The sequence below is a fragment of the Homo sapiens genome, chromosome 6 (assembly GCF_000001405.40).
Source record: "Homo sapiens chromosome 6, GRCh38.p14 Primary Assembly".
Lineage (NCBI taxonomy): Eukaryota > Metazoa > Chordata > Mammalia > Primates > Hominidae > Homo > Homo sapiens.
Window position 1 is genome coordinate 151,125,926 of NC_000006.12, and position 16,047 is coordinate 151,141,972.

A 16,047-nucleotide genomic window follows, 5' to 3' on the forward strand; every position below is an offset into this window, starting at 1 on the left:
TTAACGAGAGAGCAACTCTATGGGCGAGAACTTTCTCATGATACAAACTGTTAGCAATGCAAGGGGCTGGGGAATCTGTAAATAGTGATTTTCCTCCTGGGGGAAGTTCTTAAGCAAGACTGATTGACCATCCTCAAGAAACAGTATGAAAGGGATTCAATCAATCAGTGGCAAAGAAGATGGATTTGTAGGTACCTTTCAATTCAAATATCCTGTCTTCGATTTCTCTAATAAGCCTAGGAAGACAGGATTGTGCTAATGACTCAGTCCTAAACAATAGATCCTTGTAAACAGTGGATGTGGCCACCCTACCATTGGTGACGTAGGGCAAGTGGTGGGGGTATATGTGTGGTAATCCACTGGGTGTTTTAGGCCAAGTGTGTAGTCCAAAGAACACATTTCTAAACTTTTAAAACACAGACAAATTATACTCAATAAATCAATGTTCAGTGACTGTTTCTTGCCAGTGCAGAAAAAAACAAACATAGAAATGGCCAAAGTTTACTTTGCCAATCTGTCGTAGACTACAGACTATTAGGAGGGGGATCTCAGTAAAGGTCAGGCCTAAAGCAATGAGGAGAGAAGGGGAGCTCTTGGTCCTTCAGAGAGGACCGATGTCACAGAGTGATGACAGTCAGACTAGTACCAATGCGCATGAGAAGCAAATCAGTTCCTGAAGCTCGGTGCTATATATTCATCACAAATAAACCTGAAATGCATTACCTGGTCTCTTCTGAATCTCATATGGATCAGTATCTAAAGAGCAATAAAGTTCAGGAGCTGTATCTTCTAATACAAATGACTATATGACTATAGATATAGTTATAGATAGACATAGATATAGATCTAAGGATATATGTATGTATATTATTTTGGCCAACAATTTCTTCTCTTTCAACTACCAGAAAGTAAAAATACAGAGATGAAACAGTAGTGCTTTTGTTACTTCTTTCTGGGTTTTTTTGTTGTTATCATTTTTCTTTTCTTTTGTTTTTTTGAGACAGGGTCTCACTTTGTCACCCAGGCCAGAGTGCAGTGGCATGATCACGACTCACTGCAGCCTTGACCTCCCTGGGCTCAAGCAATCCTCCCACCTCAGCCTCCTGAGTAGCTGGGACTACAGGTGTACGCCACCATGCCCAGCTGATTTTTGTATTGTTTTTGTAGAGACAAGGCCTTGCCATGTTGCCCACGCTGGTCTTGAATTCCTGGACTCAAGCAATCCACCTGCCTTGGCCTCCCAAAATGCTGGGATTACAGGTGTCAGCCACTGCTCCTAGCCTTCTTACTACCTCCTGTGTACTGATGACTCACATCCTACTGTGGAATAGATATACTGCTTTTGCCTTCCTAGCATTGAATCCTCTTTGTCTAGAAATGACACCTTAGTTTTCCTTTGGGGAACCTCATCACTCTACGCTTGAGTGATTCTGGTGGGACAAACGCCATCGCTGGCTCCGGATATGAGCTAGTAACCTAGGTATGCTGATATGGTTTGGCTGTGTCCCCACCCAAATCTCATCCTGAATTGCAATCCCCTTAATCCCCATATGTTGAGGAAAGGACCTGGTGGGAGGTGAGTGGATCATGGGGGCAGTTTCCTCATGCTGTTCTCATCAGACTGGGTGAGTTCTCATGAAATCTAATAGTTTTATAACCATCTGGCATTTCCCCTGCTTGCTCCTCTCTCTCGCTTGCTGCCATGTAAGATGTGCCTGCTTCCCCTTCTGCCATGATTGTAAGTTTCCTGAGGTGTCCCCAGCCATGCCAAACTGAGTCAATTAAATCTCTCTTCTTTATAAATTACCCAGTCTCAGGCATTTCTTGATAGCAGTGTGAAAATGAACTAATACAGTAAATTGGTACCAGGCATAGGGTACTGTATAAAGATACTTGAAAATGTGGAAGCAACTTTGGAACTGGGTAACAGGCAGAGGGTGGAATAGTTTGGAGGGCTCAGAAGAAGAAGGAAGATGTGGGAAAGTTTATTGCTTCCTAGAGACTTGTTGAATGGTTTTGATCAAAATGCTGATAGTGATATGAACAATGAAGTCCAGGCTGAGGTGGTCTCAGAAGGAGATGAGGAACTTGTTGGGAAATGGAGCAAAGGTCACTCTTGCTATACTTTGCAAAGAGATGTGTTAGATAGGAGTTCTAAATTTCTTTTCAAAGAATCAATGTCAGTATGTTCAATTCTTTGCATTCTACTTTTAAACTTAACTACCTTGTAAGGCAACCTTTTTTGATTACCTGCTCCACCCTGACTCATTTCAATCACCTGCTCCACCCTGATTCATTCAGATTACCTGCTCTGTCATAACCATTTTTCCCACCAAACCACTCACCCGTCACTCTCTTTAAATTAGCCAATCAGAATCAGTTTAGCCTGTGCGGTCTAACCCTAGCCAATAGGGGAACGACACAGCAGCAGGGGCCACGTGGGTCAGGGATAAGAACCCCTTCCCCTCCCTTGTCCAAGTGTGCGCTCATCATTGCTTCATCTGTAAGGACACACCCCTCTATAGAAGTAACTTGCCTTGCTGAGAATTAAAAAGAAAATTTTATATTTGAGTGGTATTTCTTTTGTGGCACTTTTATTTATAACAGATGGGTGGCATTTTGCCCCTGCCCTAGAGATCTGTGAAACTTTGAACTTGAGAGAGATGATTTAAGATATCTGGCGGAAGAAATTTCTAGGTAGCAAAGCATTTAAGATGTGATCTGGGTGCTCTTACAATCATTCAGTTATATGCATTCGCAAAGAGATGGTTTGAATTTAGAACTTGCGTTTAAAAGGGAGGCAGAGCATCAAAGTTTAGAAAATGTTCAGCCTGATAATGCAATAGAAAAGAAAAACTCATTTTCTAGAAAGAAATTCAAGCCAGCTGCAGAAATTTGCATAAGTAACAAGGAGCCAAATGTTAATCACCAAGACAATGGGGAAAATGTCTCCAGGGCATGTCAGAGGTCTTCACAGCAGCCCCTCCCATTGCAGGCCCAGAGGCCTAGCAGGAGGAAAAAACAAACAAACAAACAAACAAACCAGGGCCTTGCTGCTTTGTGCAGTCTGGAGACTTGGTGCCCTGCATCCCAGCTGTGACTAAAAGGAGCTGATGTACAGTGCAGACCATTGCTTCAAAGGGTGCAAGCCCCAAGCCTTGGCAGCTTCCACATGGTGTTGGTCCTGTGGGTGCACAGAAGACAAGAATCGACGTTTGGAAACCTCCACCCAGATTTCAGAGGATACATGGAAGTGCCTGGATGACCCGGCAGAGGTGTGCTGCAGGAGCGGAACCTTCATGAATAACCTTTGCTAGGGCAGTGCAGAAGGGAAAAGGGGGGTTGGAGCCCCCAGACTGAGTCCCCACTGGGGCACTGCCTAGTGAAGGTGTGAGAAGAGGGCCACTGTCCTCCACACCCCAGAATAGTAGGTCCGCTGATAGTTTGCACCATGTGTCAGGCCTCTGAGCCCAAGCTAAGCCATCATATCCCCTGTGACCTGCACATATACATCCAGATGGCCTGAAGCAACTGAAGATCCACAAAGGAAGTGAAAATAGCCTTAACTGATGACATTCCACCATTGTGATTTGTTTCTGCCCCACCCTAACTGATCAATGTACTTTGTAATCTCCCCCACCCTTAAGAAGGTTCTTTGTAATTCTCCCCACCCTTGAGAATGTACTTTGTGAGATCCACCCCTGCCCGCAAAACATTGCTCCTAACTCCACCGCCTATCCCAAAACCTATATGAACTAATGATAATCCCACCACCCTTTGCTGACTCTCTTTTCGGACTTAGCCCGCCTGCACCCAGGTGAAATAAACAGCCTTGTTGCTCACACAAAGCCTGTTTGGTAGTCTCTTCACTCGGACGCCATGTGCCTGGAAAAGCCACAGACACTGAACACCAGCCATGAAAGCAGCCAGGGTGGGAGGCTGCCTTCTGCAAAGCCACAGGGGTGGAGATGCCCAAGGCCATGGGAGCCCACCTTTGCATCAGCATGACCTGGATGTGAGACATGGAATCAAAGGAGATTATTTTGGCGCTAAGATTTAATGATTTCCCTGCTGCATTTTGGACTTGCACGGGGCCTGTAGTCCCTTTGTTCTGGCCAATTTCTCTCATCGGGAATGGGAGCATTTATTCAATGCCTGTACCCCCATTGCATCTAGGAAGTAACTAACTTGCTTTTGATTTTACAGGCTCCTAGGTGGAAGGGACTTGCCTTGTCTCAAATGAGATTTTGGACTTGGACTTTTGGGTGAATGCTGGAGTGACTTAAGACTTTGGGGGACTGTTGGGAAGGCATGATTGTGTTTTGAAATGTGAGGACATGAGATTTGGGAGGGGCCAGGGAATGATATGGTTTGCCTGTGTTCCCACCCAAATCTCATCTTGAATTGCAATCTTCATAATCCCCACATGTCAAGGGAGGGGGACCCAGTGGGAGGTGATTGAATCATGGGGGCTGTTTCCCCCATGCTGTTCTCATCGTAGTGAGTGAGTTCTCGTGAGTCTGATGGTTTTATAAGTGTCTGGCATCATCCCTGCTTGCTCTTCTCTCTCACTTGCCGCTTGCCGCCATTGTAACATGAGCCGGCTTCCCCTTTCACTATGATTGTAAGTTTCCTGAGGCCTCTCAAGCCATGCCGAACTGTGAATCAAACCTCTTTCCTTTATAAATTACTCAGTCTTGGGCAGTTCTTTATAGCATTGTGAAAATGAACTAATACATATGCCAATGGTTTATGGATGGAAATGTAACCCAAATTAGGCTGGTGGAAGCCAATCCTAGGACTTTTCTGGGGATAGCAGGAGGTTTTGGAGAAACAAAGTACTAGTTCTTCAACTCAAGTTGCTGAGTTAGTAGGAAGTAAGCCTGGACCTACTACGGTACCACCTAGAGAGAGATGTCTTGAGAATGAAGCCGACAAAAAAGAAAGGATAGTGAATGATGAAGAAAGGAACCACGTCCTGATGACATTTGTTAAGCCCCTGGATTCAGTGATGACTCAAGCCAAACCATTCCCCAAACTCTTCAGTCTGAGCCAATAGAAACACTTTTTTATGTTACACCCATTTGCGTTAAATTTCTGTCATTTGCTCTCTCAAGTGACAAGAAATCAAAGCAAAAGCCAAGCTGTGATGGCACATTATAAAGAACCCAATCCTAATCCATATAGTGGCACATGCAAGGGGTCTGGCTGGGCTGCCTTGAATAGACCCAGTGAGAACAGCTCAACTTAGTGACACTTTTGAGACCTAATCATGTCTTAAACCTGTATTGTCTAGACTTCGGAGATAAATTTTTTTTTTTTAATATGATTTGTGTTCCAATGGGGAAGGCTCATAAGTCATTAGGAGTTTAGACTGTGTAGTGATTTTGGAAATCTAAGTGCTCCTGCGGGTGACTCCCAGTGCGTTCTTGGAGATTAGCATTTTATAAGGAGCACCAAGACATCTTTAAATAGTTTTGTCCATTTTAACTTGACTTTTTTGCATGTGTTGAAGTAAAGCAGATTTGCAAGGTCTCAAGGGAATTAGGTTGGGGCCTGCGCTCACCATTTCTTCATCCTTTGCTAGCTCATGTGTAATGGGAATTCTATGTTCTCAATTCATGATGAAGTGTGAGATGCTTAAGAAAATTATCTTATGCTAAGTCTAAGGGAACTGGTTGGCCATACTGAACATTTGTAAGTTTGTTTCCTCTGAAGGACTGTGGAGTTTCCAAATTCACTTTACTAAGTATGCATATTTAATTTGCATCCAATTAGATAAAGCAGCTGGGCAGAAACTACAGCCCCTATATTAATGCACTCATTTGGGCATCAGACTGGGAGCTTTATATGCAGGCATCATCCAGATGAATGCATTTAAATTGTTCTAATTTACAAATTGAAGCAAAGTCTCTGCAGTTTGAAATCTTGGCAATGCTTCCATTACAACATATTTTCTGAAGCATTCAGAATTATAGTGCTGATGCAGTCTCACTTTCTAGAAGCATGCTTTTTAAGCAGGAGAATGATGTGATCAGTTTCCCATTATAGGGAAGATCATTTTGATGCTAACCAGAGGAGGGCCTAGAAGAGAGCAGGTGGCCGGGCGTGGTGGCTCATGCGTATAATCCCAGCACTTTGGGAGGCCGAGGCGGGCAGATCACCTGAGGTCAGGAGTTCGAGACCAGCCTGGCCAACATGGTGAAACCCCATCTCTACAAAAATACGAAAATTAGCTGGGCATGATGGCAGGTGCCTGTAATCCCAGCTACTCAGGGTGCTGAGGCGGGAGAGTCTCTTGAACCCGGGAGGCAGAGGTTGCAGTGAGTTGAGATCATGCCACTGCACTCCAGCCTGGGCGACAGAGCAAGACTCCATCTAAAAAAAAAAAAAAAAAAAAAAAAAAAAAGACCGCTTGTGGGCAGGAAGGCAACTTTTATGATAAGCTGGCCAAGAAATGACCAGGAGGTGATCCAAGACAGTGTCAGACAGTTTCCAAGGCACATTAGTAGGGTGCCTGTGGTGGATAGAATCGTGCCTTTCCCCACAAAAGGTATGACCACCCAGAACCTGTGAATGTGAACTTATTTGGATAAAGGTCTTTGCAGATGCAATGAAGGATCTCAACATTAGATCATCCCTGGATTAACCAGGTCAGACTTGAGTCCAATGATAGATGTCCTTATAAGACACAGAAGGGGAGAAGACACAGAGACACACGCAAAGAAGAAGCCAGGAAAGGATGGAGGCAGAGATTGGAGTGATGCAGCCACAAGCCAAGGAATGCCTGGAGCCACCAGCAGCAGAAGAGGCAAGTGTGGATTCTCTGCTAGAACATTTGGAGGAAACTTAGCCATGTCCACAAGCTCCATTTCAGACTTCTGGCCTCCAGGTCTATGAGAAAATGCATTCTTGCTATTTGAAGCCTGATATGGTTTGTCTGTGTCCTCACCAAGATCTCATCTTGAATCGCAGCTCCCATAATTCTCACATGTTGTGAGAGGGATCTGGTGGGAGATAATTGAATCATGGGGGTGGTTTCCCCCAGACTGTTCTCATGGTAGTGAATAAGTCTCATGAGATCTGACGGTTTTATAAGGGGAAACCCCTTTTGCTTGGCTCTCATTCCCTCTTTGCGGGCTGCCGTGTAAGATGTGCCTTTCGCCTTCCGCCATAACTGTGAGGCCTCCCCAGTCACGTGGAAGTATGAGTCCATTAAACCTCTTTCCTTTATAAATTACCCAGTCGCAGGTAGGCCTTTATCAGCAGCATGAAAAATGGACGAATACAAAGCCACTAAATGTGTTGCTTAAATTCCTGTTGCAGCAGCCAGAGGAAACTCAGATGGCCCCTGCCAAGAGGCACTCCCAGCAATCACGTTTTGTTTTTTCTCATCTCACCACCTGTTTTAGGGACTAAAGATGACCACCTTAAAGCAAATATGCCTTCTTCTATAAAGAATTACTCTAAGCTAAAGCTCCTCCCACTGACCTAGAAGAAGAAAGCAATACAACTTTTAGGGGGTGCGGGGAGAATAGCTTTAATAAAAATGCCTCTCTTGGCCAGGCATGATGGCTCACACCTATAACCCCAGCACTCTGGGAGGCTGACGTGGGTGGATTGCTTGAGCCCAGGAGTTTGACACCAGCCTGGGCAACATGGCAAAAACCTCATCTCTATAAAAAAATACAAAAAAATTGCTGGATGTTGTGGCACATACCTATAGTCCCAGCTACTTGGGAGGCTGAGGCGGGAGGATCACCTGAGCTGGGGAGATCAAGACTGCAGTGAGCTGTGATCACACCACTGCACTCCAGCCTGAGCAATAAAGGAAGACCCTCGTCTCAATAATAATAATAATAATTAATAATAAATAAAAAGAAAAATGCCTCTCCCCTTTAGGAGCAGGAAGGATGGGAATGCAGAGATTAGGAAAGACAGGGAGATGGTGGTTCTGAGTTACATGTAGAACACAAAATTAACTAGACTAGGTCAGTGTATCAAGACGCTTGGCTACAAGACACAGAAAGCTCATTTTAAACAGGCCGAAACAACAAAGGAAACTGATTGGCTTACGTATTTGAAAAGACCCAAGGAAGGGCTGATGTGATCCAGCAGCTCAGGCCTGAAGACCCTGCTTCCCTCCACGTCTCTGCCCTGCCTTGCACCATATAGGGGGTAGTTCTAACTGTGGGTATGAGATTGCCCACAAGACTATAGACTGGAAAGAAAAAGGGTGAAACCACGAGAAACACCAGCATGGAATTATAGATAGAGGTAGACGAATCAGCAAAGGAAACTAGGATAAACCAGGCGTGTGTCTCCGAGGCGAAGAAAGGAAGGGTTCCAGAAGAAGGGAATGGTTAGCAAAGGCAAATGCCACTGGGAGTCCAGTAAGAGAACCACAGCAAATGTTCGTTGGGTTTGGTAGTTTGGTGTTTACTGATGACCTTGGCAGTAGCCGGTTGCTGAAGCAATGAAGACAGAAGACAGATCATATGGGATGCAGACTGCATGGAAGGGGCTAGAGGGACAGAGCATTTATGAACTGAGAAATAAGCCAGGGAGAGACAGAGAGAGAGACTGAAAGAGTAAGGCCTTGGGAGGAGCTGGAAAGGCCACTTGAGAATAACAGAAGGGAAGGATTAACCTTGAATAGGAAAAATGTCTCTTCCTCCCAGTCCCTGAGACCGGAGAGAAATTGTAAGGATGATGTGGATGTAAACAAGTTGGCCCAGGTGTGGTGGCTCACGCCTGTAATCCCAGCACTCTGGGAGGCCAAGACAGGTGGATCACTTGAGGTCAGGAGTTCAAGACCAGCCTAGCCAACATGGTGAAACCCCATCTCTACTAAAAATACAAAAATTAGCCAGGCGTGGTGGCCCATGCCTGTAGTCCCAGTTACTCTGGAGGCTGAGGTGGGAGGATCGCTTGAACTCAGGAGATGGAGGCTGCAGTGAGCCAAGATCGCACCACCATACTCCAGCCTGAGTGACAGAATAAGACTCCACCTCAGAAAAAAAAGTTAGGGAGTGTGCTTATGGGTAAGTGTAAGAGGACACTGTGGGAAATTGAGAGAATTCACAACCAATGGTCTCTATTTTCACCCACTGAATAAGAATGTATTCGTTTCCTGTGGCTGCAGTAAAAAAATAGCACAAACACACTGGGTGGCTTAAAACAAGACACTTATCCTCTCACAGTTCTAAAGGCTCAAAGACAGAAATCAGGGCTATGCACCCTTTGCAACCAGCAAGGGAGAGTCAGTCCTTCCTCGTCTCTTTCAGCCTCTGGCGGCCTCAGGCATTCCTTGGCTTGTGGCTGCATCACTCCAATACCTGCCTCCTTCTCATATGACCACCTATCCTCTGTGTCTCTCTGTCTTCTCTTCTTTTAAATTGACCAGTCTTTCTTTCTTTTCTTTTTTCTTTTTCTTTTTTTTTTTTGAGATGGAGTCTTACTCTGTTCCCCGGGCTGGAGTGCAATGGCGAGATCTCAGCTCACTACAATCTCTGCCTCCCTGGTTCAAGCGATTCTCCTGCCTCAGCCTCCTGAGTAGCTGGGATTACAGGCCCCTGCCATCATGCCCGGCTAATTTTTGTATTTTTAGTAGAGACAGGGTTTTGCCATATTGGCCAGGCAGGTCTCCAACTCCTGACCTCAGGCGATCTGCCTGCCTTGGCCTCCCCCAAAAGTTGACATGCTTAAATGCTAATCCCAGGACTTGTGAATGTGACTTTTTATGGAGACAAAGTTTTGGAGATATAATCAAGTTAACATAAGGTCATTAGGGTGACTGGTGTCCTTATAAAAAGGGAAAAATTGGCCGGCGTGGTGGCTTATGCCTGTAATCCCAGCACTTTGGGAGGCCGAGGTGGGTGGATCACCTGAGGTCGGGAGTTCGAGACCAGCCTGACCAACATGGAGAAACCACGTCTCTACTAAAAATACAAAATTAGCTGGGCATGGTGGTGCATGCCTGTAATCCCAGCTACTCGGGAGGCTGAGGGAGGAGAATCGCTTGAACCTGGTAGGTGGAGGTTGCAGTGAGCCGAGATTGTGCCACTGCACTCCAGCCTGGGCAACAAGAGCGAAACTCCATCTCAAAAAAAAAAAAAAAAAAAAAAAAAAAAAGGAAAATTTGGAAACAGACACGAAGGGAAAAAGGAAAATTTGGAAACAGACACGAAGGGAAGAAGTGAAGAGACACAAGGAGAAGACGGCCTCTACACACCTTGGAGAGAGGCTGGAGCAGAGCTTTCCCTTACAGCCCTGAGAAGACACCGACCTTGCCAGCAGCTGGATTTTTGGACTCCTAGCCTCTAGAACTGTGAGACAATACATTTCTGTTGTTTAAGTCATCTAGTTTGTTTAAGGCTGCCCTCGCAAACTAATACAGGGACCACAGAGCCGTCCTCTGTCTATCCCTGGGATTCTCTTACTAACAGGGCGCTGCTGCTCACAGAGTTAAAAGAATTCACTCCAGGCTAACCATTGATCTGGTTCTCACACTTCAACGTTTCCTTTCTTCCACCTGGCACATAAAGAATCGTTTGCCAGCAGCCAGCAGTCTAATCATTAAGCGGCTGGGAAGGGAGACATCAAAGCAGTAAACAACACACAGAACAGTGTTACTTGAGCAATTTGCCTAAGAAACCACTTTATCTTCTCGGAGAGCTAGATGCATAAATTGTCTGCAGTTGTCTTTGGGGAGAGTTGACGAGGTCCGCAGGGGAGGAGTTACTGGTATGGCCAGTGAGTGTACTGAATACTGATTCCAGGAAAATTAGGAAAACACTTCTGGTGTGTTTGCTCCTGTAACCCCGGCTGCTGCACCAAGCTTCTAGTGTGTTGTTTTTCTTCTATTCTCTGACCCCCTCCTCTCAAGTAAGCCATATTTTGTGCAGATCTTCGGTCTTTGGGGAATGTGTCTCTTCCATTTTCTCCCTCCCAGCCCTGCCCCTCCTCTCTTTCCGACCTTTGGGTCCTCCACTTCAGCTGAGGGACCCTAAAAACTTGGCTACCACTTTCCCAAATCTCAAAGGAAGATAACAGTGATGGCCATTAAAATACTGTTCAGCTGGGCATAGTGGCTCCTGCCTGTAATCCCAGCACTGTGGGAGGTCCAGGCGGGTGGATCCATTGAGGCCAGGAGTTCGAGACCAGCCTGGGCAACATGGCGAAACCCCGTCTCTATTAAAAATACAAACATTAGCCAGGCATGGTGGCCCATGCTTGTAATCCCAGCTTCTCACGAGGCTGAGGCAGGAGAATCACTTGAACTCAGGAGACAGAGGTTGCAGTGAGCTGAGATCCTGCCATTGCACTCTAGCCTGGGCGGCAGAGTAAGTGAAACTCTGTCTCGAAAAAAAAAATACTGTTCAATTACCTCTAGAGGAAAGCAGGAATAGTTAAAATTGGTATTGCTATGACACCAGAAAACAAATTTTAGACTGACAGATCACAGCCTAGTGTCTACTTAGACTATTATTTTTGCATTGATTTGTCTACAGTTAACATCATACAGACCATCTAGGAGTTACTGCAAAATTGATACCAGGGAATTAAAATACACTTTAAAATACAAAGTTCTATATAAATTGTAAATCATCTTTCCTAGCGGAGGTTGCTCTTCTATATCAGCTTTCTTCCTCTGAGCCTCTCATCATGTCTCATTACCTTTTGCTGAATGCAGCAGGCTGTTCAATGCTGTTCTCACTGTCAACTTTTAAGCCGTGGGTGCCATGATTATATAGCTGAAGGAGCTTATTTTCCGGAAGATTTATGAAACCTTTGGGAGTCATCTGCTTTGACAGAACCCTTTGTGGAATGAGGGAGGGGATAAATAAATATACAGTCATGCATCACTTAACCTAAAAAATGCGTTCAGAGAAATGCAACATTAGACAATTTTGTCATTGTGTGAACATCATAGAGCAAACCCACGCAAACCTAGATGGAATAACCGGCTACACACCTAGGCTACAAGCCTGAACAGCATGTTACTGCACTGAATACTGTAGGCAACTATAACATGGTGGTAAGATTTAATAAGATTTAATATCTGTGTATGAAAACATAGAAAAGGTAGAGTGAAAATGTGGTACTATAATCTTCTGAGGCCACTGTCATACATGCAGTCTGTTGTTGACCAAAACATTGTTGTGTGGCACATGACTGTAGAGATAAATGCTAGGATTTCAGGCCCAAAGGTTTTATATATATGTATACATACATATATGTATAGACATGCAAAGGTTTTATATATATGTGTACACATATATAACCTTTGGGTTATATATACATATGTATGTATGTACATATACCTTTGTATATACCCCAAAGGTTATATATGTATATATGTGTATATAAAACCTTTGTATGTCTATACATATATATAAAACCTTTGGGCCAGAAATATACGCATATATATGTACACATATATACAGATATCTATCTATCACAGATAGATAGAGATAGAGAGAGAGAGAGATCTGTATCATGTGTACACATTTGAATACAGACCAGGGCTCAACAAACTCTTTCAGTAAATATTTTAGGCTTTGCAAGCCACATATCGTCTCTGTGGTATATTCTTCATTTTTATTATAATCTTGTAAACGTAATAACCAGGCCAGGCATGGTGGCTCACCCCGTGCTGTAATCCCAACACTTTGGAAAGCCAAGGTTTCCAAGTGTTGGAAGGTTCCAAGCCAAGGTTCCAAGCCAAGGAGGATCTCTTGAGACCAGAAGTTTGAGACCACCCTGAGTAATATAGTGAGACCTTGCCTCTAAGAAAAAAATTTTTTTTTAAATTACGCACCTGTAATCCCAGCTAACAGGCTGAGGTGGGAGAATCACTTGAGTTAGGGAAGTTGAGGCTGCAGTGAGCAGTGAGCATGCCATTGTACTCCAACCTGGGTGACACAGTGAGACTGTCTCTAAAAAACATAAACATTAAAAATGAATACATGTAGGGCTGGGCGCGGTGGCTCACGCCTGTAATCCCAGCACTTTGGGAGGCCGAGGAGGGTGGATTGCCTGAGGTTAGGAGTTTGAGACCAATCTGGCCAACATGTTGAAACCCTGTCTCTACTAAAAATACAAAAAAATTAGCTGAGTGTGGTGGCGTGCGCCTGTAATCCCAGCAACTCAGGAGGCTGAGGCAGGGGAATTGCTTGAACCAGGGAGGTGGAGGTTGCAGTGAGCCGAGATCACCCCACTGCACTCATTATTTTATTTGAATTTCACCACAAGTTTGTTAATTCCTTGTATTATCCTCATTTAAAAGCTGAAAAAGCCCAGACACTTTGGTTTACACCTGTAATCCCAGCACTTTGGGAGGCCAACGCAGGAGGATCACTTGAGCCTGGGAGTTTGAGACCAGCCTGGGCAACAGAGCAAGATTCCATCTCTACAAAAAATTTAAAAATTGGCCGGGCATGGTGGCATGTACCTTTAGTCCCAGCTACTCAGGAGGCTGAAGCAGAAGGATCGCTTGAGCCCAGGAGGCTGAGGCTGCAATGAGCTGTGATTGCACCACTGCACTCCAGCCTGGGCACTCTTTCTTTAAATAGCCAGGTTGTTGAGTGATAGCGGAGTGATCATGGGTGAAATAAAATGGAGTCCCAGCTTTGATCCTTTGTCTTTAGTCACTGTCATCTCCTCTTCCTCCTTTCCTTTTCATGGAACTGATATTTACTGAGTGACTGTGACATGCTGAGGCCCTGTGCGAAGCTGGAGATCCGGTGGAGCGCCACAGGCACGGTCCAGCCTGCCTGATGGCGCCCCGTTAGCTGGCAGGCAGGCAGGAAGCTAGCAATCAGAGCACCGTGTGCTCAGGGGTGTGACGGGGTGAGCGCAGGGGGCCGAGGGGGCACCAGGCAGCGCAGCCAACCCAAACCTGGACAGGCAGAAAAGGCTTCCATGAGAAGTATTGTCTGCATTGAAGGGTCAACAATGAGGAGTGTCAGCTGGGGGGAGAGCTTTGCAGAGCCTCAGACACCCCTGTTTCAGGACCCCACAGCGCAGATCTGCAGGGGCAGGGTTTTATCCAGCCTCTGCCTCAGGCAGCTCGTCTCCCAGGCTCCGGACTCATGAACCACTTCTTAGGGGAGTATGCAAACCAGGAGAACCAGAGGCCCAGATCTGTAGTACCTGTGTGGTTGGTTATTTAGTGCATCTCTACCTGCCCAGAAGGGCAGAAACAAGAGGTTTGGAGAGCATGTGCCTTGTTCACGGCTGCATCCCCAGTGCCTAGAACAGTGCCTGGCTGAGACAAAATTCCAATTATTTAGAGGGTAGAGGAAACAGGTGGATGCACGGTCCTTTTCACACTGACCATTGCTACTTGCGGGCAGGGAGACCAGGGAGGAGCCCAGGGCAAGGGAGGCCCCCACACCTAGGAGATTTTTGAAGTCAGAAACACACCCTAAAGATGCTCATGGCCTCTCATCTGCCTTTCTCCACCAGCCCTCACGTTGTACTTGGTGAATACGCTGCTCCGACTTTAAAGTTTCTTCCTAATAAGAGAGATCTAGGTTTAATTAAACCCAAGTAATAGAAAACAAGGGCATTTGGGCACATTCGGCTCACACAACAGGATTCCCTACTTAGCCTGTCCACTAAAGGGAGTTTCTACTGTCAAAGTTATTATTGCCCTCTGTGTGAAAGAAGAAATGTGTACAAAGCACTATGAGTTAATTAATAATTGTTGATTGACAGTGATTGGCATGTAATATTGGTGCCCCAAAAGAAATTTTAAAAACAGGTTTCTTTAATCTTTGAAAAATGCCACGTGAAGAGGGTCTTCATTCTCGGTGTTACTCTCCCCACCATGCCAGCTCCCCCTATATTCCTGTTGATTTGAGGGATTGTTCTTAACAGAAATAAGTTGATTTATTCCTGTTGATTACAGGGATTCCTGTAATCCCTGATGTATTCCTATTGGTTTTGTCCCAAGTTCAGTGCCAAAATTGCTCTGGTTGGGAGAAAACTTGAAAATGGCCATTATCCAAACCTAAAGCTGTTCCCAGCTGGTCCTAAGGCTACAGATGTTTCTCTACAACAGCCCAAATCACAGAGACAGGGGATTGGCCTACACACGGTGCTTCAGAGGCTCCCCTGAAGCCGACCCAAGGGGAGTCTACTCTACATGCTTGGGACCCTGCAGGAACCAGATAAAGATGTAGTCTTTGGACCATCGCATCTAGTGGCAGTAATATTTATTGAGCACTTACTATGTGCCGGGCACAGTTACTCATTTAATACTCACATGATCCCCAAGGAAGAAGTTACCATCATCATCCCCATATTATAGATGCAAAAACTGAAGCCCAGAAAGATTAAGTCACTTGTGAAAAATATGGCAGGGCCCAGACTTGCTGCCAGGCAGGCAGGCAGCAGAGGCGGCATGCTTAGCTGCAAGGCTATGTTGCTTTTGTCCAACTCTTGCCTTTTTTGCTGTTGTAGCCATTTTTGTTTTGCCAACATACAAAAAGAGTTTAATACATGAAAGTTATCTAAAGCCATTCAGTCTCTTCTTTCCCTCTAGAAGCCAAAGCTGGAGAGATTCCAATCACGGCATCACTGCGCATAGACATTCTCCTTTTAAATGCAAACACCTTTGATAAGAGTAACTCAGGCCTGAAAAGAGAGCTCCCAGAGGACCAGGACCTTCTTTATCTGCATGCCCAGGACTAAGCAGGGTATCGGGTAGTGGGTGCTCAGTAAGTATTTCTTGAATGAACCTTGGTGAGTATTTAATGGTTTCATGTACCTTGTTTTATGAGAACAAACTTTTGTTGAGTGATTGCTTTAGCCTCCTAGTCTGTTAGGCTCTAAATATAGCAAAGAATGTAATCTAGTTCCTGTCCTAAAGGAGCTTCCGGCCTACTGGGAGAAGAAAGAGACTAGTAAGCAAATAATTACAGAAAAATAAAGCCACAGTGGGTGTGTATAGCATTGCCCTATGGGAACACGGGGCAGGACAGCCTAAGACAATCTGGGCGTGTGCGTGGGAGGATTAAAGGAATTTCCAGTAGTGCG

General features: G+C 45.1%; 1 long non-coding RNA gene across 1 annotated transcript in view, besides 1 other annotated feature; it reads right to left on the reverse strand.

Moving 5' to 3' along the window:
• The window catches only part of LOC124901432 (uncharacterized), a 62,877-nt gene that overhangs the window by 37,832 nt on the left and 8,998 nt on the right, over nt 1-16,047 (reverse strand). The window contains exons 2-3 of the long non-coding RNA XR_007059813.1: nt 12,824-12,941; nt 11,680-11,820 (exon numbers count right to left, since the gene is read on the reverse strand). This is a non-coding gene — a long non-coding RNA (uncharacterized LOC124901432). The remainder of the gene's footprint in view (nt 1-11,679; nt 11,821-12,823; nt 12,942-16,047) is intronic.
• Nucleotides 3,346-4,337: an enhancer, noted in NCBI's record as "H3K27ac-H3K4me1 hESC enhancer chr6:151450407-151451398 (GRCh37/hg19 assembly coordinates)". NCBI's record gives its function as "activates a minimal SCP1, AML or CMV promoter by ChIP-STARR-seq in naive H9 embryonic stem cells {active_cell/tissue: H9 hESC(naive)}" and the evidence as "EXISTENCE:reporter gene assay evidence [ECO:0000049][PMID:30033119]".